Source organism: Homo sapiens, chromosome 2, assembly GCF_000001405.40.
Source record: "Homo sapiens chromosome 2, GRCh38.p14 Primary Assembly".
Taxonomy (NCBI): Eukaryota; Metazoa; Chordata; class Mammalia; order Primates; family Hominidae; genus Homo; species Homo sapiens.
In genome coordinates this window covers 206,954,787-206,979,525 of record NC_000002.12, presented here as the reverse complement: position 1 = coordinate 206,979,525, position 24,739 = coordinate 206,954,787, and the positions used below count along the sequence as shown (strand labels likewise).

The 24,739-nt window shown below is 41.2% G+C and overlaps 1 protein-coding gene across 2 annotated transcripts in view; it reads right to left on the bottom strand.

The window, feature by feature from the left end:
* CPO (carboxypeptidase O) overlaps positions 10,052-24,739 on the bottom strand; it is a 29,957-nt gene continuing 15,269 nt past the window's right edge. The window contains exons 3-9 of one of the 2 annotated variants that reach the window (NM_173077.3): positions 23,962-24,063; positions 21,121-21,225; positions 19,785-19,895; positions 18,584-18,674; positions 16,912-17,114; positions 11,179-11,263; positions 10,052-10,352 (exon numbers count right to left, since the gene is read on the bottom strand). In NM_173077.3, coding sequence (NP_775100.1) covers positions 10,090-10,352; positions 11,179-11,263; positions 16,912-17,114; positions 18,584-18,674; positions 19,785-19,895; positions 21,121-21,225; positions 23,962-24,063 — 960 coding nt within the window. In that variant the 3' untranslated portion in view covers positions 10,052-10,089. The remainder of the gene's footprint in view (positions 10,353-11,178; positions 11,264-16,911; positions 17,115-18,583; positions 18,675-19,784; positions 19,896-21,120; positions 21,226-23,961; positions 24,064-24,739) is intronic. The other variant, XM_047443423.1, reaches the window with a different exon arrangement.

The following is a 24,739-nucleotide window of genomic DNA, read 5'->3' as shown; positions in this document are numbered from 1 at the left end:
GCACATAGTTGAGAAATAAATGATTTTACCTTCTTTTTGAGAATATGACACTTAGAATCTGCTAGGGTGAACTCTGAGACTTGTAGAAAGGCCCTGTGCTTTTTCTGGGTTAGGGGGAAGCTGTTGCTTTTTTTTTTTTCTTGAGATGGAGGTTCGCTCTTGTTGCCCAAGCTGGAGTGCAATGGTGCAATCTCGGCTCACTGCAACCTCTGCCTCCCAGGTTCAAGCGATTCTCCTGCCTCAGCCTCCCAAGTAGCTGGGATTACAGGCACTTGCCACCACGCCCGGCTAGTTTTTTGTATTTTTAGTAGAAACAGGATTTCACCATGTTAGCCAGTCTGGTCTCGAACTCCTGACCTCAGGCGATCCACCCACCTTGGCCTCCCAAAGTGTTGGGATTACAGGCGTGAGCCACCGCACCCAGCCAGTTGTTGCTTTTTAACTGACCAGTGTCTACTCACTCTTCTTCCAACATAAGCGGCCTGATTTTATTTCCTATCTCAACCTACGTGGTTTGGGAAGCTGGTCTATGAGTGAACATGTGACCTGGGCTGGGACAACAGCATATTCCAACTTCTTGACTCATGGAGGCCCATTCAGTCCCTCTTTGGGAATTGTACTGGAATCACTACAAAAGAGAAACACTTTTTTTCCAGGGTTGTGGAGAGGATAGGATCCAGGACTAGAGCTGCAGGGGATGGGCGGAAGGACAATAAGAGCAGGGGTTGCATTTTGCTCTCACATGGAAAGAGCCTGCTTCAATAAAACCAACAGAAAAAGATCTGATGCAAAATTAAAATAGGGAAACTCATTAAACTCTGATAACATCTTTGGAATCTCTGGATTCTTTTATTCTTGAACTCCCTTCAGATCTTTTAGTTATATGAACCAATGAATTTGGGAACAGGAGCTAACATCAGATGCTTGACTTTCTGAGAAGTAAAGAGCCAGAGACATCCAGGTTATTTCTTTTTTTTTTTTTTTTTTTTTTTGAGACAGAGTCTGGCTCTGTTGCCCAGGCTGGAGTGCAGTGGTGCAATCTTGGCTCACTGCAAGCGCTGCCTCCCAGGTTCACGCCATTCTCCTTCCTCAGTCTCCTGTATAGCTGGGACTACAGGCGCCCACCACCACGCCCAGCTAATTTTTTGTATTTTTAGTAGCGATGGGGTTTCACCGTGTTAGCCAGGATGGTCTCGATCTCCTGACCTCGTGATCTGCCCGCCTCGGCCTCCCAAAGTGCTGAGATTACAGGCGTGAGCCACCGCGCCTGGCTGGTTGTTTCTTGACTATGATTTAATTCCAGCCTCTTCCCCACTCTGAGGGAGGGCATGTTCAGGTTTAGCCCCTTCTCCATTGCTTCTGCTGCAAACCCCTGATTCTCAACACTCCTCCCCAACTACCGCATCCTGCCTCATAAAAGATGCTGAGATTATTTTTAATTACAAATGTAAAATTAACTGGTATGTCCATGGCTATTATCAGGATCTCAAATTGAAGATTGTGTCTTGTACAGAGTGCAGATCATTTAAGCAATCAGACTACTTCCAAGTTTTTCTCACATTCTAAGAAAACTAATGAACCCTTCCCTAGCCCGCTCCTATGCCCGCCCCACAGAGGTTGAGTTAATGGCTCTTCTCCGCTAGTTGCTTGCACGTGCTCTTCATTTTAGTACTTACCATTTTGTGAGGTGTTTGTTTACTTTTCTGCATTTTGAACTAGACTCTAAGATCCTTAAGGGCAGAAACTTTTGTCTTTCTTTTGTATTTTACTTCTTTTTATTCGAAAACTAAATCAAGATACCTCTGCTTACCTAGTGGCAACTTTTCCTAATTATGAGCCAAATGCTCTATTGCGTTCCCCAGAGAAACAGCATCAACATTGCCTGGGAACTTGTTAGATATGAAGATTCTCCACATTCCCGCCTTCTGTCCCACTGCTGAATCAGAAACTCTGATGGGGAGATGGAACCCACCAGCTCAGGTTTTAACAAGCCTTCCAGATGATTTTGATGCCCACTAACAGTGGAGAATCACTACTCTAGCTTCTTGCCACTTGATGTGCAGTAGTCTGAGGACCAGCAATATCAGCATCACCTGGGAGCTTGTTAAACATGCAGACTCTCATGCTCTACCACTGATCTATTGATATGGACAAGAATCTGTGTTTTAACAAACTTTCCAGGTGATGTCTGCACTCTAAAGCTGTGCTACCTAAATTTTCAAGAGCATCAAATTACCTAGGGATTTTGTTAAATGCAAGTTCTGATGTTGAAAAATTTGATTTTTGAGCAAGCTTTCATCTAAAACTAATGCCACTGGCCCTGGACCACAATTTGAGTAGTAAGTGCTTCAGGTCTGCAGGGAAATTGGGGGACAGGTAGTATCTTTAGACCCATTACCCAGCCTTCCCAAATCAGAGCAGTTCTGTTTTTATCTGACTTATATTTTATGCTTCAAGGTAAATTTTTATTTGAAATAAGAATTCTCCTGCACAACAAATCTTTGAAGCAACAGCCTTTGAGAAAATAGTCAACCTTTAAAGTGATAGACTTGCAAACCTAATTATAAAGGAAATGCCATAGGGTGAATTAGCGTATGTCTAAGAGGAAACTGATGGAGATTATAGTTTTTAATTTTTTAAAAGCTTTTTCAAGTTTCCATATTGAATGAGGTTTGAAATATGAGCTTGAAATGAAGGTTGCATGTGACTCAACACCTGACTATAAGATTGAAAACTAACCCTGAATTTCAACTGACACCTCAGCGTGACAATTCTGCATTTCCTATTTCCTATCTGAAAACACATGGCTCCTCATTTTTCCATTCTGCTTCCCTTCTGGCTTCTGTAGGTCTATAAGTCAATTTTCAGCATTATTATACTTTCTCAGGGATGAAACAAAGATGATTGAAGACAAGTTCTCATGATCTTATAATACTTGAATCCTTCTGAATAACCTCTCTGATTTCTGTCCCTTTGTGGGGAAAGAATGGAAATTTCTGTGGCCACCAACTCAACTTAGTTGTTATTCAATTCATGTGTGTATGAAACCACCTTGGCAAAAATCATAATAGTGAGAAAATTATGGCAGTGAAAGGGGTTTCATCTAACTAACTCCATCTTGCCTTTAACTTCCAAAATGCCCTTGGTCATTCCTGGGCCAAGCTAACTTTGGGAAAAATTTAGTTTATAGTTTAAATGATAATAGCCCTTCCCCAACTAAACCACCTTTGTAAAACTAATGGAAGGCCACCATATTAGGAGTATGAGGGGCCTGATTTATGCTAAGATGTAGGCCTTAGATTACCAGCCATTATTTTGAAGGTCGTAAGGTTTTCAACTTCCCCAATTACTTCTGTAAATAACACCTCTATTGTAAAACTTAAGATTGGCCCTTCGAGATGTCTTTTCAGGCTTTTGCATTTCTGATGATGCCTCACCTGGACTAGTGACTCCTCTGTGGCCCCCACCCAGAAGTAGACTCAGCACGTGGGGGCCATTTTCCATACCCCTATGATTGCATGCCCAACCAATCAGCATTCCCCTTGTCCTAGCCTCCTGCCTCCCAAACTATCCTTGAAAAACTCTAGCCTCCAAATTTTCAGGGTGGCTGCTTTGAGTAATAATAAAACTCCCATTTCCCGTTTAGCCAGCTCTATGTATATTAAGCTCTTTCTCTATTGTAATTCCCCTGTCTTGGTAAAGGAGCTCTATCTAGGCAGGGGGCAAAATGAACCCATTGGGTGGTTACATGCCCAGCATAATATTTTCTGAACTGTTTTTCCTGACTTCTTCCCTCTAATTATTTCACCTTAGATCATCCTTCCAGAGTAATCCTTACTCTTTACTCCCTCTGCCTCTTTACTGCTTTACTACTTCTGCTAGTACTCACCACAGCCTATAGGGAGAATGTTTAGACTCTGGTCTGGCATTCAGGCTCTTCAACCACCTGATCCTAACCTGACTTTACACCTCACCTTCTCAAGATCCTCTATCTAGTCAACTGGGTTTTTGTGGGTTCAAACTCATAATGGGAAGACACATTACTCTTTGCCTCCTTTGTGTCTCTGTGGTTGCTTTTGCACCATCTATGTAAATAAAAAGGACACTGTTCATCTTTTATTGGAAGCATCATTTTGGAGCTGACTTTCAAAAATGTTTTTCTTTTTCTTAAATCCTCAGCAAAAACATAATAAGAGCTCTGTAGGAAAGGAACATGTTGGCAGGATAAGACTTAATACACTCAGCATTAAAGCTCTTTGGAGCTTTATTTTTTAATTATTTTAAATGAATAAATCCTGAGACAGAAATAAAAGTCCTTTTTCAGAGTAGCTGAGAAAAGACTATGCAGTCTTGATTACAGTAGAGTGGAAAACTATAATAAGTGGCTATTATTTTCTCATAAAGTCTTATCATAACACCAAATACTTTAAAATTTACAAGTCCATAAAGACTAATCTTTTTTTTACTGTGCCTTCAACAAGAGGTTCAACTAAAAATATATGTTATGCTGAAATGAAAGTCTTATCTGGAAGAAGACTTCATATTCTAGAATGAGAAAATATTCAAAATAGATTCATACAACATTTGTAATCTCCAGGCATATTCTGAATATTGAATAATAGTAATACTTGTATTAAAGGTTATTTTAGGAAATTAAAAACTTATGATGTTTTGGTAATAATTCTAAAACACTGACAATTACATTGGGTTCCCTAGAGGCAGGTCCAGATGTGAGGAGTCATGCATAAGTGATTTATTAAGGAGGTACTCCCAAAATAAACTAGTACGGGAGTGAGGAAGCAAGACAAAGAAAGGGAGGAAGCCAAGCAAGGGTGCAACCTCAAGGCAAGTTCTTTGGAGAGTAAGTTTAACCTTATCCCACACTATCTCTGGAAATAGTTACACTTCCCACTGCAAGAGAACTGGGCTTTCACACCCCTGGACTCATCCGTTACCCTCTAAGCAGAGACTGGGGGTTTCTGGTGGTGGATGTATTAAATCAAGTTTAGCCTAAAGCTGCTTTCTTACATATTTTAAGTTCATCCTAAAGGTTTCTTTGTACATAGTGAGCCATAACCTAAATGGAGGTATAAACAGACTGTAACCTACTCTTGTGCCAATCACAGAGTTTTGGCCAATCAAAGGGGGCCAACTGTTCAAACTGTGTTCAAATAAGGCAAAGGACATGCTGTAACCAATCTGACTGTTTCTGTACCTCACTTTGGGTTTTCTATATGTCACTTTCCTTTTTCTGTCTATAAATCTTTTTCCACTATGTGACTTTGCCAGAGTCTCTCTGAGCCTACTCTAGCTCAGGAGTCTGCCTGATTCGTGAATCATTCCTTGCTCACTTAAAATCTGTTAACTTTAATCTGACTAAAGATTTTCTTCTAACAGGTGTCACTGTCACACACTTCTAACTCCCTGTAGCTGCAGGCAAAGTACATGCAGTAGCTCAAGGGTAGCCACTGGAAAAAGTCATGAGTATGAGCCATTGGAGGCAAAAACACGTCAAAGATGGAGAGCGATGCAGGAGAAGTTACCTGAAGGAGTTTTGGCAAAGCACTGGCAGTATCCATTAGAGAGTACTTCTGACATCCTAAAACTGGAAAATCCCTATTCCAATAAAATTAATCAATCATTAAGAACAGTGTTATCAGCCGGGTGCAGTGGCTCACGCCTGTAATCCCAGCACTTTGGGAGGCTGAGGTAGGAGGATTGCTTGAGGCCAGGAGTTCAAGACCAGCCTGGGCAACATAGCTGTCTCTACAAAAAAATAAAAAATTAGCCACATGTGGTGGTGTGCACCTACAGTCACAGCTACTCAGGAGGCTGAGGATGGAGGATCACTTGAGCCCAAGGGTTTGAGGCTGCAGCGGGCTATGATTGTGCTACTGCACTCTAGCCTGGGGCAATAGAGTGAGATCCTGTCTCTAAAAACAAACAAACAAACAAACGTGTGCCCGTGGGTGGGCATATTCTTAACCTCTCTGTCTCAGTTTCTTCATCAAATAAATAAAATATCTAACTCAAGATTCTTATGAGTATTGTCAGAGGTGTGTGAACCAGAGCAACTCCATCTTGAATAGGGTCTGAGTAAAATAAGGCTGAGACCTACTGGGCTGCATTCCCAGAAGGTTAAGGCATTCTAAGTCACAGGATGAGATAGGAGGTCTGCACAAGGTACAGGTCATAAAGACCTTGCTAATAAAACAGGTTGCAATAAAGAAGCTAGCCAAAACCCACCAAAACCAAGATGGCGACGAGAGTGACCGCTGGTCGTCCTCACTGCTATACTCCCACCAGCACCATGACAGTTTACAAATGCCATAGCAACATCAGGAAGGTACCCTACATGGTCTAAAAAGGGGAGGCATGAATAATCCACCCCTTGTTTAGCATATCATCAAGAAATAACCATAAAAATGGGCAACCAGCAGTCTTTGGGGCTGCTCTGTCTATGGAGTAGCCATTCTTTTGTTCCTTCACTTTCTTAATAAACTTGCTTTCACTTTACTCTATGGACTTGCCCTAAATTCTTTCTTGCGTGAGATCCAGGAACCCTCTCTTGGGGTCTGGATTGGGACTTTCTGGTAACATCTTCACACAAGATAATACACATAAAATATTTCAATCGCTGCACATCATAAAATAAATTAATAATTATTAATAGTTTTTTTTTAAACTCTGTATTTAGTACTGCAATTTTATGTTCTTGGGCAGTGGGCTTCTCTTAGTGACATAATAAATTTATACCAGATTCAAATGATATACATAAGATATGAATAATACTGGGGTGGTGTAAAGAATATATTTTTAATAACATATCAGGAGACTGATAAACTGCATAAGGAAGAGAAATAGGAGCTTGGTCATACATAGTGAAAACAAAAATATAACTCACTTTGACAGTGCTGTAAAAAAAAAAAAAACCCTAGAGCTAGAAGCTTGTATATCACCTGCATTTATTATTTTGCATCATTTTAAACTCTAAATTCACCTGTAAGTCAAGAAGATCTAGATCCTTTGTAGGAATAGTTATGGAAAAAGCACTGATAGAGTTTGGTGGAAAGACAGAAATAGTAACAGAAAAGGCAGAATAGTCAAACTTCCTAAAAATAAAAAAGGAGGCATTATAAACATACTTTGATTAGCACTGAGAGAATCTTAAATTGAACCATGTAAAATCACCAATACTTGAATTTTGTTGACCCACAAAAGCAGCAATTTCATAGGATTCAAACTGGCACATAAAACCTACTGGGAGACAGTCCTTTAGAACCTCTTTTTCTCCTGCACATCTTCCTAGCTGGGCCAAGGATGCAAGGCCCTGACCACTTTTACCTGGGCCATTTCTCAGTTTTATTTGCAGTAAGCAAGCAACCTTGAGTGATGGGGACATGTCTTCTTCTGGGATAAGATCAGGCTTGCTTATTGCTTGCTGTAGAAGCAGTGAATTCCAAAGTTTAGTGTTTCTCTCGGTTGCACAACTCGCTGCATGTGCACGTGGCATCTGGGCTCTTTGCATCATCCTCTTGGTGCTTGGGAGAAGGAGGAATCCCTGTAAATATGCTGATGCTCATGCTGCTTCATGTGCTTTGGGAAATAGTGTCCTTTGACTCTGACTGGGAGTTTCTTGCCTTCTACTAACATACATGAAGCATTAACAAACTAACTTCTTAGCTTTAAAGTAGGATGAAATCAAATCCCAGACCTAACCAAACTACAAACAGGATACTCTCAAGAATGCATTAGTAGCATCAGCTGTGAAGTTTTCCCAGCCAAATATCATTTTCCACCACGAAGCTGAAAACATTCTTAGAAAGATCAGTGTGGTCATTCACCATCTTTCTATCCCTGTTCTTAGGATTCTTTCACAGGAAGTAAAAAAACTTCCAGAAGCAGTAAAAAATGTGTCATGTGTCCCAGTATCCTATTCCCCCAGAGACAGGCGAAGCCCCTCAAGGAAGCTATGATCACATCCTGAAATCTGGAAAAATCCATGTGGGAGGTTTCAGGCAAGCTGATTGATTAACTGAGTTTCTCTCTATTCTCTTCTGACTTTATTTGCCCATGAGCTCCATCTCTAGACATGAATTAAACTTTGTAGATCAGAGCTCCCATAGTACTCAGAGGTCTGAATTATTTTTAAAATAGCCTTGGAGATAAAACCCAAGCTAGATGAACACTGATAACCAGTGTCTCTAAGCACAGCTCCCCTGCTTTCTTCTTGAATATAGCATTGGGTGGTCACACTAGTTTTCTTCCCTTCTAGCCTGACCGTTGATGAAACCAAACCATTTCCTCCTGACAATACCACAATTGTGGAGTTGGCATTTTTATGTTAATAGCAGTTCCCTGATTCATTAAACCCTATTGCCTCTGACATTTTCCTTTCTGACCCTTATCAGCCACACACTAGCAAAACATGAAGAAATAAAGACGACAAAGAAAGGCAATAAAAGGGTTACAACCAAGAAGTGTATTGTGACTGTGACCAACAAGGAAATTTGGCAATGGGTGACTGAACACCCAAGGATGCCCTGTCAGCTGGTCACAACTACATTTATTCGAAGCCTGACAACTGCTTAGCACCATTTCAAGGTGTCACATAGAGATACATAGGAAATGACAGTCATGGCTGCTACTTTAACAGCACTCACAGTTTAATAGATGAGATAGCACAATTAAATGCCTAGATATCCGTACACGTACAATGTGGGCCTTCCTCTCCTCTCTACTGACTTTTCATAGTATGTGTCACAAACCGCAATATTTAGTTTCTTTATTTGTGTTCTTGCTTATTGTACTCCCCTAGAGCTGGGATTCACCTGGTATGAAACAGCATGTCCATTCCAATTATTTATGGCTTCTAGTCCTGATTTCACCCACTGGAATATAAATTTCAAATAGACGGGGACTATGTCTATCTTATTCACCATTGTAACCCCAGAACCTATCAAAATGCACCTAGTAGATCCTTAATTTTTTTAATGAATAAATAAGTAAATAAAACCAGCAACAGTCATCAAGAGAGATTGTATAACTTATCCTCTGAATGCTGCTACTAACTCATTAACACAAAATTAAGAAAGCAAGACCCTGGTTCAAAAGTATAAGCAAAATTTTTGAAGAATACAGATGAGAAAAAATCCCCAGACCCCCAGGCAGAAGACCTATTCCTACTTCATTTTCCTTAGTGAATGTTGAGATCATAAATCACAAAAATTAGTAGAACACAAAAGGCCCTATCAGAATCTCATTGTGTGACTTTTAGTTAGATTTCAAGAGCAGTGGGGTTCCACTGGAACTCACAGGCTTCTCCACGTTTAAAGCTGAATAGGATAATAGCCATCTAGTTGAGTTGCCTCGAATTGTAGCTGAGCTACCGACTATGAAGCTAAGCCAGTGAAGCTCAAGGGTGTGATATAAACACCAGATAGAGTCATTTCACTGATGGCCCCAATTCTTCACTCACCACCTTCTGTTCTGCTCCACCCCTTGATGCAGAGCTCAGCCATGTGACTTCCTTTGGCAAATGGGATGTTAGCAAATAGGATGCAAGCAGAGGTTTGAAAAGCACCCGCACATTGAGACTTGCTCTGCTGCTTTTGCTCCTTCACCATGGCCATGAGTGCATAGTACTAATGTGCTGGACGAGAAGATACATGGAGCACAGCCCCCGTTCCTCATTGCAGCTGAGGCTATCCTATACTAGCCTACAGTAGCCAACCCCCAGAGTGAGTTCATCCGAGATCTACCAGCTGCCCTGAAACTGACCATGGATGCCTAAGCGAGAACAACAAAGATCACTGCATCGTGACCTGTAGATTTGCACCACTTGGTTTTAGAGAGGTTTGGTTTGTAGCATTATTGTAGCAATAACTAACTAATACCTAACTAATTCCTCGTATAAAGGAATAAAGCTCAACTCACAGAAAAACAAATATTAAAACGCAGACATGATTTTTCCTTATTGAAATAGGAAGTATTTTTAGTTAAATTATTTGGTTTCTTTACAACCATAACACACCGTTCCTCCAGCCACACTCATGCCACTGGGGTTGAGCAGGCCTGGGCAGAATGCACTTAGAGAAGAGACATGCAGGACACCAGCAGGCCCAGCAGCATAGTGGCAGATGTCACCCTTCCAGCACTGTCCGAGTGCCAGTGTTTCGCATACACATCATCCAGGACTGACAGCACAGCCTCCATGGTCTCCTCACAGGTGGGCTGGATCTGAGCTTCTGGCAGAACAAACCCATATGTTCCACTGTCCCTCAGCTCAAACGTATATGAGAAGGGAATCCCAATGTCTCGGGCCCAATCTCTTGAAGACCCTGATGAGGCATCTACAGGTGAAAACATGAAGGCAGAGGTAGAAGTCATACTTTGGAAGAATGGATTTCTATAGCCATTTCAGGAACTAAAGGTTCACTTAGTAAAATAAAGAAGCTCTTTTAGATCAGGGTCTCAGAAATAGCTGTCTTCTCTTTCTTCTTGGTTGTAAGCCCCTGCAGGGTGGGAACCACGTCTTATTCAGTATCTCTGTCCCCCATCATACCTGGCACTGTGTCTGGCACATAGAAAGGTTTGGCTAAAGTTTCTTAGCTGAGTCACTGACTGACTTGGCAACCTAATATTGCCTGGCAAGAGTGAACTGAGTCATTTAAAGAAAGGAACAGAAACAAAATGACCCATAAGAAAAATATTATACAGGTATTTAGAGGGGGGCTCATAGAGGGTGGAGATTGGGGTTGGGAGAAACAGAGCGCTCTCCTTTCAACTAAATTCTTGTCTTTAGATTTTTTTCTCCAGGGCTTTCTTAGCCTGATGGGTCCTCTGGGAACTGAATTGACTGACCAAAGGTCAGTGGACAATGTCCTTCCTGTTAACTCTTGTGCCTTCTAGCTTGCCAGCTCTTTTTAACTGAAGCCAGGAGAAGTTCTGGTCTGAGCCAACGCATTAATTCTTTTTCTTTTAGTTCATACCTTATCCCTAGAGAGTATAATTCCGGATTTGTACAGACTCCCTTTTATCCTTGGTCATTTTGATTTGTACAACTCCCTGTTGATCCCAGGAACTCTTCTGTTCCTCTCCCGCCTATCTCACCATCCAAAGTCCACTGACTTCTTTTGTGCCTTAGATACTATTGAAGAGGCAAAAAAAGATACTTACATAAAATATCTGCACTCGATCCAACTCTATAATTGGTTCCATACTTTGCTTTCAATGCATTTGCTGCCTTCTGTCCAACTTGAATCTGTAGGTGGGAAATGCAGAGACAGATATCTGGTGTTTAAAATAAATCCAACAATCCAACCATTTGGTGTTTTGTCCAGATTCATCTCCAGAGTTTTAGGCCACCTTTCCAACTTCCCATCGGACATCTACATCTAGGTAGCCTGCTGGTAACTCAGATTCAGCACACTTTATCCAGTTTCACCATCTCTCCCACTAATAAGGCTGCTCTGACTTTCATATTTCTGGGCTTGCATTCTCTTCCAAACACACACGTAGAATTCTGCAGGCATCTCTGATATTCCCTCTCTAAAACAGTTTCCAAGTTGCATTTCCAGTGCCATCATTCTATGTCAGACTCTACCTCTGAAATGGTCTGTTGCATCTTCTAATAGATTTCTCTCACCAATCCTTCTTTCAAGTGATCCCACCTGGCTTCCAGATGAAATTTGGTAGCATACAGCTGTGATCATGATCCTGTGGAAAAGTCTTCAAGAGCTCCTCATTGCTCACTGAATTAAGTACAAACTTCTCAGCCTAGTTTTTGAGATCCTCTCCAATATGACTCTAACCCACCTTCCCAACACCATATTTTGTCATCCCTCCTAGATGATAGTCAAAAACTCATTTTCCTACCATTCCTCAGCCTTACCCTACATTCCTCAGCCTCTATCTTTCCTCAGGATATTTCCTCCACATGGGACCCCTACCTCTTATCTCTGCCTGCTGAAATTCTGCCCAGCTTCAAAGGATTTTTTCAAATGCCAGCTTCTCCAAGAGGCCTTACCTGATCCCTCCAACTGGATTCTATCTCTCCCCACTTTGAATCCCCATAGCTGTTTCTTCATTCCTCTCTCTGACCCCCCTCTTCTTTTTCCTTATAGTGTTTAATCTCATTATCTATATCTATATCTATATCTATATCTATATATCTATATATATATATATATATAGCATTTCAGAGCTGGAAGTCATACCCATCCCCACACCTACCACCACTTCACCTCTGCAGCCCCTTTCCAGAGATAAGAGTCATTAACTGAGGCCCAAGTCTACTGGCTGGGCTTATTGACCTTCTGTTGCATGTCGCCTAGGTTTGCTGACAGATGCTCTAGGTATTCCCCAGCCTAAACATGTGTGTTCTACCTGTCGGACGGAATATCCCACTGCTTCCCCTGACAGTCTCCCTCCCTGCCTGGACTGTGATCTGCCAAAGCCTTACCCCTCAGGGCTTCCTGACTGCACTCCAGGTGCACCAGCTCCCCGGATGCCTGACTAGGGACAGGTCTCATTTTAGATTCTCCTTCTCCCAGCTCTGTATTGTCCAGCTGAACCCTAAGATGTTGCAGAGTAGTGCTTGTCTAGAGAGGGAACTGGCCCAGCGAAATTCAAAAGGAACAACATTTATGTTGGCCAAAAGGCAGTAAGGAAGTTGGGGGGATCATACTGGACGGTTGTGGGCAGTGTTCTTAAGGCACTTGGGGCTTTCTGTGTCTGACTAAAATCAAAGGAAAAACACTCTGTCAAACATACTTGCAAGTCACTTGCTTTCTCTCCACTCAATACTAAGAATGCCATCTTTGGCCATTCACCTCCCTCACTTCCTAAAAAGGGATTCTGAGTCTGCCTCAGTTCCTGGGTTTGTGTTATCCAGAATTGAGATAATGGGTAGGAGAGGCTAAAAACGCTGATTTAATCATTTACACTGGGAGGCGGTACAAGAATGGTCTGCTGGAGAGAGAAATTCTGGTAAGGAAATGAGAGGGAGGGGTGGGCAGGATTCAGGGTAGCTGCTGTATGTGATGAAGTTGAGAGAAGGGGCCTGGGAAAAGCATTGTGATTTACCAACCACACTCCCTTCTGAAGTTCTTTAAGAGTCTCTAGCAGAGATACGAATTGCTTTTAATTATTTTTAATTCCCATTTTTTTTTTTAAATGGAACTCCATGCTAACTGGTCCATGTGGGGCCTTACCTTTCATTGGGATATATGCATCAGACCAGACTACACTTGCCATCCCAGTGGTTCCTTGCTTTTTTTTTTTCTTTCCTGCAGCTTGCCCTAGACAACAAATTTTTTTTTTTTCACATTGCCAGCTATCATTTATTTTATCCGATATCATTGCCTTTCCTCGAATCCTGGCTGTGGGGTAGGAAACAGTCTTTCCAGTTTACCCTTCTTTGTTGATAAAATAACTTTTGAGCTCTATTTTAATAATTCCATGAGGAATTACTATGCGGAAGCAGAGAGGAGTAAGAGATAGACATGAGAAGCATTCAGTTGTGATCCTCAGCTTAGCAATTTGGGCATTTCTGAGAAGATAAAATGGAAATCCCCCAGACTACCGAATTCAACTTCTGTCTCTGGAGGTGGAACTCCTGATTGTACTTCTCTCTCCTTCGACACTACATTGCAAGGCTATAATAGAGCCAGTTTCTCTGCCGCCTTTTTTTCTCAGCTTATAGGTACTTCCTAATAAAAATAATAAAAACTCATTTGCCAATAGTACATAATACACATTTGTAAAAACCTCCGGCCCGCTTAACAACTCCTTCTCTGGGCCCAGAGAATTTCCTGTAAGCATATATTCAGAGGCAGGCCCACAGAATGGTTGAATAAAGCTCTGGCCTAGTAGGGGTGGGGGCAGCAGAGCTTGGGATGGAGTACAGAGGTTGATACAAAGAGAGTTCAAATGGAAAGAATGTAAGCATGTAAAACATTAGAATTCTTATAGCTATTCTCATTTCCAGAGCAGTTTAGAAAGAGGCTATATATAGTTATGTTTCTCCTACACAGTGATTGCCAAGCTGTCTATCATGTAGTATAATATTTACCATGATTTCTATAAACTTTTGGTTTTTGTAAATAATAGAGATTAATTACTAGTCTCTGTGGCTTGTAAATAGTACTAGAAATGGAAATCTCCTTGGAGCAGTTGGCTTGATTCTGTGTCTTTGCGCACTCTATCAAAGCTTGCCCCCAAGAACCTAAAAACACTGCTAAGTAGCTTCAATGAGGTAGACGTGTGGTAGTAAAATATTCACAGTCTTTTTATCGAAAAGTCTTGGAGACGACTGTTTATGTGAACTCTTCAGCACCTGAGACTGTAAGAGATACAGAATTGAAGCCATCTTTCTCAATTTGATTTACTGGTTTCTGTATATAGTGCTATGGAGTTGCCAGTTATTCTCTTCTTAGAGTTACTGTCCAGTAGTGATGGTGCCATTGCCTCAGGTCCCTCCTGCTGTCTTGCTCCTTCTAGCCTCTGGCCACAGCACAGGGCTCTAACCAGACAGCCAATCAGCAGTACAAGACCCTCCAATCTTTGAATACAAACTTTGCAAAATGGTCACAGAGCATCTGTTTTCCTGAACCAATTAGAGAATGAAGTAGCCAAGAAAAATACTGGAATATACTAGCCTCCTTTTTCTGCTGGCGGAAGACCCCTTTCCATCAAAGATCTCTAATTACCTGTCTTCGGAGATTCATTTGTGTTTGTCACAGATCCCTTTAAGCAGAAAGTAGGAATCTACAACAAATATCCCTGAAACTGGGAAAAAGGAGCATTCTGGGCTTCTTGACTGAAATATCTGATTCTGTAGATTTCTTTATTGAAGAAATAGAACTTCCAGGGCTCACAAACGAGAAGGAAATAGTGCATAGTTGACTGGGAATCTAGCTGATAATGACTCCTAGAAGTTGCACATCCTTTCTGAGCAGAGAGAGGCGTGCGAGGTAGTGGGATGATGAATGTGGCCTCTGGAGTCTAAAGACATGAGTTCTAGCCTGGGCCCCACCACTTCCTATTTATAGAGTTCTGATGATAAAGTTAACTCAGAGTTTCAATTTCTATACTCCAAAGTGAATGTAATATATTATCATGAGGGTCAAAGGAGATAACAGCTATAAATCTCTCTGTAAATTGTAAAGATCTAGGCAGATGTTAGTTATTTCCACATGTTACAAAATGATCATATAGTGCAAGTGTTCCTGGACCAAGAAAAGAAAGAATAATTGCAAGAAAGGTACTTGAGTGTTGTTGGACATTTTTGACTGTTGGGAGAAGGGCTCCTTCCAACAAAGGTCTACAGTGGTTTTTCTTTTAGTGTTCAGGCCTTGTGTCTTCTGGGTCGTGCTCCGGAGGGAGATGTGCAAAAGGTATAACCTAACCAATAGGTCATCAGGCCTCTGTGATATTAAGAACAGAGCAAGCTTAGCCCCACTTCTTCTCAGCATTTGCATAGAAAGAGGAGCATGTTTAAAAAAATAAAAAGATAAACAGAAAATAACAAGTGTTGGCAAGAATGTGGAGAAACCCTTATGTACTGTTGGTGGGAATATCAAATGGAGCAGCCTCTATTAAAGACAGTATGGTGGTTCCCCAAAAAATTAAAAATAGAATTGCCATGTGATCCAGCAATTACATTTTGGATATGAATCAAAAAAACTGAAAGCAGAGTCTTAGAAGTGCACACCCATATTCATAGCAGCATTGTTCGTAATAGCCAAAAGGTGAAAGCAACCCAAGTGTGTCCGTTGACAGATAAGAGGATGGGATGAACGAAATGTAGTATATACACAAAATGGAATATTGTTTGGCTTTACAAAGGAAGAAAATTTGGATACACCCTACAACATGAGGAAACTTGGGATAATATGCTTAGTGAAAGCCAGTCATAAAAAGATAAATACTGCATGGTTCCCTTATATGAGGTATGTAGAGTGGTCAGATTCATAGAAACAGACAGTAGAGTGATGGTTGTGAGGGACTCGTGTAGGAAGAAATGGAAAGTTGTTTAATAGGCATAGTTTCAATTATGCAAGATGAAGAAGTTCCAGTGATTGGCTGCATAACCATATGAATATACTTAACACTACTGAACTGTATACTTTAACAATGGTTAAGATAGTAAATTTTATGTTTATTTTACCACAATTAAAACGGAAAAAAAATAAAAATAAAAGGAAAACAAATATTACAATTTGCAATTCTAAATTTATCCTCTCTTTGACTTGTGTCTGTTGTCCTCTGGTTCACAAAAGGGCAAAGAGCCCAGTCCTTCTCAGTAATTCTGCCCAACAGTGCTTGGGTAAACACAGCTTCAGAGAAGGACACGGATAAGACCAAACAGTTTCCCTGCTCCAGCTTGCATTTCGCTGGCACTTCCCCTTACAAATAATCCTAGGCAAATACTGAAGGAAGAGTTTAGAAGAAAATAGAGCATTGTGTTTAGCAGAGAAGAGAGCAGATATTATTTAGCCATGTTATTTTAGATATGCCATATTCCACTAACAGCTGGCAAGTTCTTGAAAGCACGGTTCAAAAGCTGTAATTGCTGAACGGAGCTCCAAGAGAATTTACAGAAATGAAAGTGCATTCCTGCAGATTATTAACATAATCATCTCATTTATATTATAGATGAATACCTAAGATGTCTCCCAACTTGACACTTTATGAAACAGGTAGTTAATTAATGTAGGTAAAGCAGCATTTAACCCGAAGCCTTCCCAGCAGGCGTCTGGCAAGGTGCAAAAGCAGGAAAAAGAATATAGGGATAAGCAGAGAGAACAAAAGGGTGGCTGGAGCCAAAATCTTGGAAATGGAAATCAGAAAAAGGAAGGCAGAGGTCTTGCTGAGGTTTTTCTGGAGGCCTTGGTGCTATGGACTCACCATTTCTGGGTGGTTACTTGATTTATTTTTGGTGTAGCCGTAAGGTGTGAGAATTAACTGCCCATAAGAGTGCATGGTCAGGAAGCACAAAATATCATCCTTCTTGCTCTCTATGAAGCTGGCAACAGCTTTAGTCTCTGGTTCAGACACTGGCCCTGTCCCACAGAATGTTTGATCTTGGCAGTTTCTAGAGGCACCAATACCTAGAATATGGAAGAAACCACAAAGAAGGCTGCATGATCTCAGTTTGGAAATGACCAATGGCAAGGAGTCATCCATACTCAGGGCCTCTGTGAGTAGAATCAGCGCTTGCCCTTGGTTGTCTGAGTTAGTCCAGGCTAAATTAGTCAACTTGGATAGTCACTGAAGGATAACCATTCTAGAAGGAACTCAGAATAGCAGAAAGGGATAACGTTAGGATTTAGAAACAAACTCCATGCTTCCATGGCCCGGGAAAGGGGATACAAAATGAAATGGCATTTTAGTATACTTGTATTTTTTTTTTTTTTTTTTTTGAGACAGAGTCTCGCTCTGTCGCCCAGGCTGGAGTGCAGTGGTGCCATCTCTGCTCACTGCAAGCTCCACCTCCTGGGTTCATGCCATTCTCCTGCCTCAGCCTCCCCAGTAGCTGGGACTACAGGCACCCGCCACCACGCGAGGCTAATTTTTTTTTTTTTGGTATTTTTAGTAGAGATGGGGTTTCACTGTGTTAGCCAGGATGGTCTCAATCTCCTGACCTTGAGATCTGCCCACCTCGGCCTCCCCAAAGTGCTGGGATTACAGGCATGAGCCACCGTGCCCTGCCAGTATGCTTTTACTTAAACCTGTGGTGGGCCCTGAAACAAATGCCTGGAAAGCAGTTCTTGGGTTCCTGGGTAAGGTTCTGACATTGTCTTTTTGATTTAAGTTTTTCCTTCATGTCTTACTAGCTTGAGTCTCATTAGAGCTATTTAGCAAGGACATAAGTAGTCTGTAATCCTCATTAATAATAATAAGAATGATCAGCTGAGCACCTCCTATCTGCTAGGTACTGTGCCCAACACTTCCCATGTAGCATCCCATTTAATCCCTACAACAACCTACTGATAAGGTAGGGCTACTGTGGCTCACATTTTACGTAAAAGAAAACTAAAGCAGAGAGATGAAGCAATTTTTTCAAGACCACACAGCTGCCAAGTCTCAATTTTAACCCTTCCCATCTGGTTAATGGCAACGTTCTCAGCCATTCCTCCTTCTTTATTTGCTTCCAATTCACTGGGCATATTGAGATTTGGAAACATGAAAATGCCATAAGGAGAGAAAAATGTTTGCTTTGTTTACTGCCTGCCCCCTGCTATGAAATAATCTGCAAGGATAAGTCTCTGATTTTTCTTTTCTTTATGATAATTCATATATTTAAAAACAAAGGGATGGATTTGAAATATATTCACACTGGTCTAGGTCTACTTTTTTCTTGTTTAGCCAGCTTCACTTGGAGTCCTGTACTTGAATGCTGATAGCTCTTACTATGTAGATAATATTATCCTGTTAGAGGGAATAAAACTCATTAGGAAGCCCAGAAAGCTGTACCATATTAGATGTTATTTTCAAAAATTATACATTTAGTAATTCACCTCTTTTCTTACTTCTCAGCTTTATTTGTTCATAATTCATCTACTAAGCATGTACTTACTACACCAAGATGCATTGAAATTTCGATTGAGATCCGTCCCAAAACATGTGCCATTATTATGGGGTGAACGGGATTTCCTCCAAAGACGATCCTGTAGCAGAGGAACATACGGATGTTGCTGTTCTAAGGTTTCATAAATCACAGTGTTAGTGATGATAGGTGGTCCTTGAACATGAAAAATGTTTCCTAGGATTATCTGGAAGAACTTCCCTTTAACATTAGGCAGCTTGTGTGTGTAATTTTTAGTCTTACAGATGGGCTAGCAGCCCCCAATACTAGGAACATCTGTACAACCAAAAGTATACATACATGTAAACAATTAAATTGGAGGAAGTAGTTTGGCCTTTTCCTCATGAGCAGATTAGCAGTGCCTGTGGACGTGATCTGCTTACTCAGGGAACGTTTGCTTTGGAGTCATTTTCTACATTCAAGTGATACAGGATGAAAGGGAAATAGCTTGACAGATGGAAAAAGACCATTCCAGGTGTGTCAGAGATGGTCTCTGCACATTTCTGGAAGCTGAGGACTGATGAGTGGAGATGGGAATAAAGACAAGTGTCATCAGACAAGCTCAGAGGGAAAACTCGATTCACACACCAGGCCAGAAAGGCTGTTCCAGAGAAAGGGGCCCCTGAAGTCCTTAGGGGAGCAATGGAAAAGGGGAGGCAATGCATACTCTCTAGAAATAGGGGCTCTTATTTGAAGAGTGATAGGCTTTAGGAACATTTTAAAGAGACAGTTGTCTGCTGCATAAAAAGACTTTATGTGATGTTTGCCCCCTGTGTGAATGATTGCATTGAAAAATGTAGGCTGGTTTTGTGTTTATACATTATTCATTGCCTTCATGCTTCTAGAACTGATTTGACATGGATGCAAGTTGGTACATGAATTTTTATCAATATAATCCTAATTGGGTGGCAGGCAATCCACAAACATTAAGAAGATGGAAGAGGAGAGTAAAAAACAAAGAAAAAACCTGTAATGGACTTCAACTCTAAAAAGGCCTTAGGCTTCCTTAGGCCTAAACTTAATGTAGATGGTTTGATTAAAAATGTTAAGCTGATTTTTATCCCAAATGGGGTTCCTTTCTTTACATAGGTATGAAATATTTTTAGAGCCGGAATGGATAACATTGGAAAAATTAACCTGAATTGAGCTTTAGTTCATGAACTCATCCCAGGACCAAACATGGTGTACTCACAGTTGTCCAAGTGTAGATATAACCATCTATGTTAAGAACTGGAAGGACATAGAAGTCCAGGTTCCTAAGGAGCTTGCGTATACTTGAGTTGTCTTTATGGTTTTGTAGAATCTGGAAATTTAAGAAAGAAATGTTCAGAATTATTTTGAGATCTTTTCTCTCTTAATTTTCTACCAATTTCAACTTAATTATAAGAGGTGACTGTACATCACACCTCCACCCTCCAGTCCCCAAGCCCTCCTCCGTGTCTTATTACAGTAGTTGTTCCCAAACTTTATCACACATCAGAATCACTGAGGGACCTGTTAAGACACAGATTGCTGGCATCCACTCTCCCTTACCCCATTCACCTCCTGCCATCCCTGTCTCCGCACATTTCTAATTTACTAGGTTTGAAATGGAGCCCAAGACTTTGTATTTCTAGTAAGTTTGCAGTTGGTATTGATACTGTTGATCTGGGGACAACACTCCGAGAACTACTCTTTATGAGTTTCTCTGTGTTTGGGTTTCTGAAAAAACTGACCAAGAAAGTATTCTATATTACTTTTAAAGATTTCTTATTCCCTCAAGGGAGGATTATAAGTAATACACAAAAATTCACTGTGCTGGGTATTTTCCATATGCTAAGTCTCTTAATCCACACTACAGACCCATGAAGTAGTTATTTCGTACTCTTTTTACAGATGAAAAACTAGAAAACTGGCTGGGCATGGTGGCTCATGCCTGTAATCCCAGCACTTTGGGAGACCGAGGTAGGTGGATCACCTGAGGTCGGGGGTTCCAGACCAGTCTGACCAACATGGAGAAACCCCATCTCTACTAAAAATACAAAATTAGCTGGGCATGGTGGTGCATGCCTGTAATCCCAGCTACTCAAGAGGCTGAGGCAGGAGAATCGCTTGAACCCAGGAGGCGGAGGTTGCAGTGAGCTGAGATCGTGCCATTACACTCCAGCCTGGGCAACAAGAGCAAAACTCTGTCTTAAAAAAAAAAAAAAAAAAAAAAAAAAAAAACTAGAAAATTTGCCAAATACTATTAGAAAGAGGCACAGCCAGGATTCAAACTCATCTCTGACTCCATAGACATATGTTCTTCTACATTTAGATATGTTTACCCTCCAATAAAAATTATTTTGGATGCACTAGAAAGAGATCAGAATATTAATTCAGTTTTCAGTGAAGTTCCTCATTAATTTTATTTCACTTGAGGTGAAGGATTAGCACAGTAAAGAGTTGCATCACTAACATGTGAAAGAAGCGTGGTTTGTAAGCAGCCAAGAAGTGACAGATATTTTATGGGGGTGATTTACCAGTATGAGAAAGCTAAAGACACTTACTTCTTTGACGAACCATTGGCAAAAAGCAGGAGCAATCCATTCTCTGGCGTGAATTCCACAGTCCATCCAAATGATTTTCTTGGGATTACCAGATGGTTGGCTGATCTGGAGAAGATATCCATGCCCCATTACTAAACAATTGCTGATTATTGTAAGCCACTGTGCAAAGTTATGAGATTTTTAATTCCCCTAGAGGTTCCTTTTTCACTCCACTCTGTGGTTTCAAGAGGGAGGCAAGGATGCTAATGAGACACCCATCAACATGATTCTTTCCTCTGCTACTCTTGTTCTCCTGCCAGTTACCTTGATGGTTGTTCTCAGGACTGCACACTGGCTCCCCATAGTACCCACCCAAAGAATGATCTTCCCTATACCTTAAATTACTCCCTAACTATAGATAAAGGCATAACCCCTAATCCACAAGCTAAAAGGCTAAATATGGATAAACCTTATAAAACCTTTGCACTTAGAGTTCACTTAGAGCGGTGAAGTGCACAAGAGGTAATATTCAAGAATCATAGGTCTTTAAAATGAATCCCAATCTCCACTCAAAATTCTTGAAATTTCAAATGGATTCAATTACACAAATTCCCCTTCCCCTCAGAGACTCCCTGACTCCCTGCCAGCCCAATCTTCTTTCCTTCTCCCCATTTGCTATTCTTGTACATGAGTGCAGCCTCACTCTAAGGAAGATTCCCCTCTTTCAGAGCGGTAGGTGGGTGGGAATTAACTGCTAATTGTGGATTCTCTTTGGTGGAGAAGAGGCTGTTAACACTCCCATGCTTGGAACAGTCACATCTGTTTTGGATTTGTAAATAGCCTAGACCAAGGCTATTTGTTGAAAACCATTGGAAGCTGAGGTGATGAAGGCCCCCTTCCTCTCTATGAGAAACTTACAAAATGAGATAAATACATGGCTGGATCTATCATATTCAAGGAATCTTCTCCTTTTAGCCTCATCTATTTTTCAAATTGTCAGGACAATTCCTAATCCACCTCTTACCTTAATGTTCTCTTTTTTTTTTTTTTTGAGACAGAGTCTCGCTCTGTCACCCAGGCTGGAGTGCTGTGGCATGATCTCGGCTCACTGCAACCTCCACCTCTCGGGTTCAAGCAATTCTTCTGCCTCAGCCTCCCAAGTAGCTGGGACTACAGGCACATGCCACCACGCCCAGCTAATGTATTTATTTTTAGTAGAGACGGGGTTTTACCGTGTTAGCTAGGATGGTCTTGATCTCCTGATCTCGTGTTCCACCCGCCTCAGCCTCCCAAAGTGCTGGGATTACAGGCATGAGCCACCGCACCCGCCAATGTCCTCCTATAATTAGCCTTTTTATGAGTACGTGTATGCTAGTTACATGTTTATCTTTATCAACTCTTTATTATGTGCAACTCTTTATTATGTTCTATTCTTTTTAATATGCCCTAGGCAGAGGATATTTAGATGTCTTTTTGACTGCTTTGGCGTAGACTTGGATTGCCTATGGAAAATCAGGTAGGCAGGTGGCCCATGCTTAATACATCAACCAGTTGCTCACATAATCCCTGGGTAAATTCCATTTCAGAGCCAATAATTTTTTAAGAGTTGTAGTTAACTCTCAAATTTAGGGCTGTACTTTGTAAATTAACACACCTACACTAAGTAGTAAGAGGGCAGTAAACTAAGTAATGCTGGTTCTTAATGCCATACTACTTTAGTAGTGGTTCTTAATTAAAGAGTGGTCCTGGACCAGTGGTATCAGCATCACCTAGGAACTTGTTAGAAATGCACTGTGGTATCGCTTCTCAGCCTTTTGGCTATGATCAAGTGTAAAAATGCACTCTGGTTCTGAAACTTGAATGTGTATCAGAATCACCTGGAAGAAGCCTTGTTAAAATAGACTGTTGGGCTCCAGCCTCCGAGTTTCTGACTTAGTAGACCTTTGCAGGGACCTGAGAGTGTGCATTTGTAACAAGCCCTCAGGTGGTGATGCTGCTGCTGCTGCTGCTGATGATGATGATGATTTAAGTGCTGCCCTTTGAAAACCACTGGTTTGGTGCAGAGATTGTCAACTCTGGTTACACATTAGGATCACCTAGAGAGTGTTCGAAGTATGCCTGGTCCCATCCTGAAACAATTAGGTCAAAATCTCTAACCAAATTAGGTGGGGTCTAGGCATAAGGATTATTGGCAGCTCTCTGGTGATTTTAATGTGCAGCCTGAATTGAAAATCACTGGTGCAGAACCAGGAGCTCAGGGGTCCTGGCCCTGTGGAAAAATGGTTTTTCGGTCCCAAATACTTTTGGTCATGTTGCATGCAAAAGGGGTAGGAGACGCTGGAGACCTGGTTATCCCCCTGGCTGTGCTGACATCTGGCTGTGTGGCCTTTCACAAGTCACCTCACTTCTCTGGATCTTTGTTCCCTTAACCATAAAAGGAAGAAGCTAAAAATGAAGATTATCTGTGGTTTTTAAACATTTTTCTTTTTTTAAAAAAGAACATTTTAAAATTTAAAAATATAAACAAAATAACAACTTAAAATACAGGTGAGAAGTGAACTAGCTCTAGTTGAAGCATGAGTGGGCATTGTCCACTTCTGGGCCCTGCTGTTTTTCAGCCCTACCCCCATGGTCCCACTCAGTTCTCCAAAATTCTCTTCACTCCTGAACTTGATTTCACCCAGATAATTAAGGCAAGAGCATCTATGAGTTTTGAACTTTAAGAGCCCCATTTGGGGTGGAAAAAGCAAACTGATTCTGCATAGCCTCTTTTCCACACTTCTGATTAGAGTCCCTGAATAGTAAACACATATCCTCCTGGATAATTCTCCTGGTAAGGTAATTCTCAGCCTTCTCACTCACCTTCAGATAATACATGGGGTGGGTCTCATAGGTCACTCCTAGGAAATGCTGTGTCACCACTTCCTTGTACTTCTCACTGATCTCTCTCATCCACTCATAGATCTGAAACAGCAAGGGAGGACTGTGGCTATCAGTAGGAAGATTGTTTGCATGCCTCTGATTAAGATAACTGCTTCTTTCACTGACACATTGAACTCTGTTATCTTTGCTCTAGATTGCAACAGCTGTGTGGTAAAAGAAACAGAAAACAACCTCCCATCTTTCCCTTTCTTTAACAATTTATTCTGTCACCAAGTCTTAGGTTCTACCACTGCACTTTACCAATAAGTTATTAAGAATTAACAGTTTGAATAACCCACCAGTAACACTTCAGAAATATTGTATAACAGTACATCCTTCAATTGACCACCAGCCTTAGCTTTCATGTGGCACACAATCATGCCAGAAATTTCAGGTGAGGCTTATTTTGTGAGATTTTCTTCCATCTTTACAGATCCCGGTGATATCTTTTGCTGATGTCCATGTGATATGGTTTGGCTGGGTCTCTACCCAAATCTCATCTTGAATTCTATAATCCCCACATGTCATGGGAGGGACTCTGTGGGAGGTAATTGAATCATGGGGGTGGGCTTTTCCCATGCTGTTCTCATGATAGTGAATAAGTCTCACAAGATCTGATGGATTTAGAAGGTGCCACCCCCAACCCCTTTCACTCTGCACTTCTCCTTGCTGCCGCCATGTGAAGAAGGACTTGTTTCCCCTTCCACCATGATTGTAA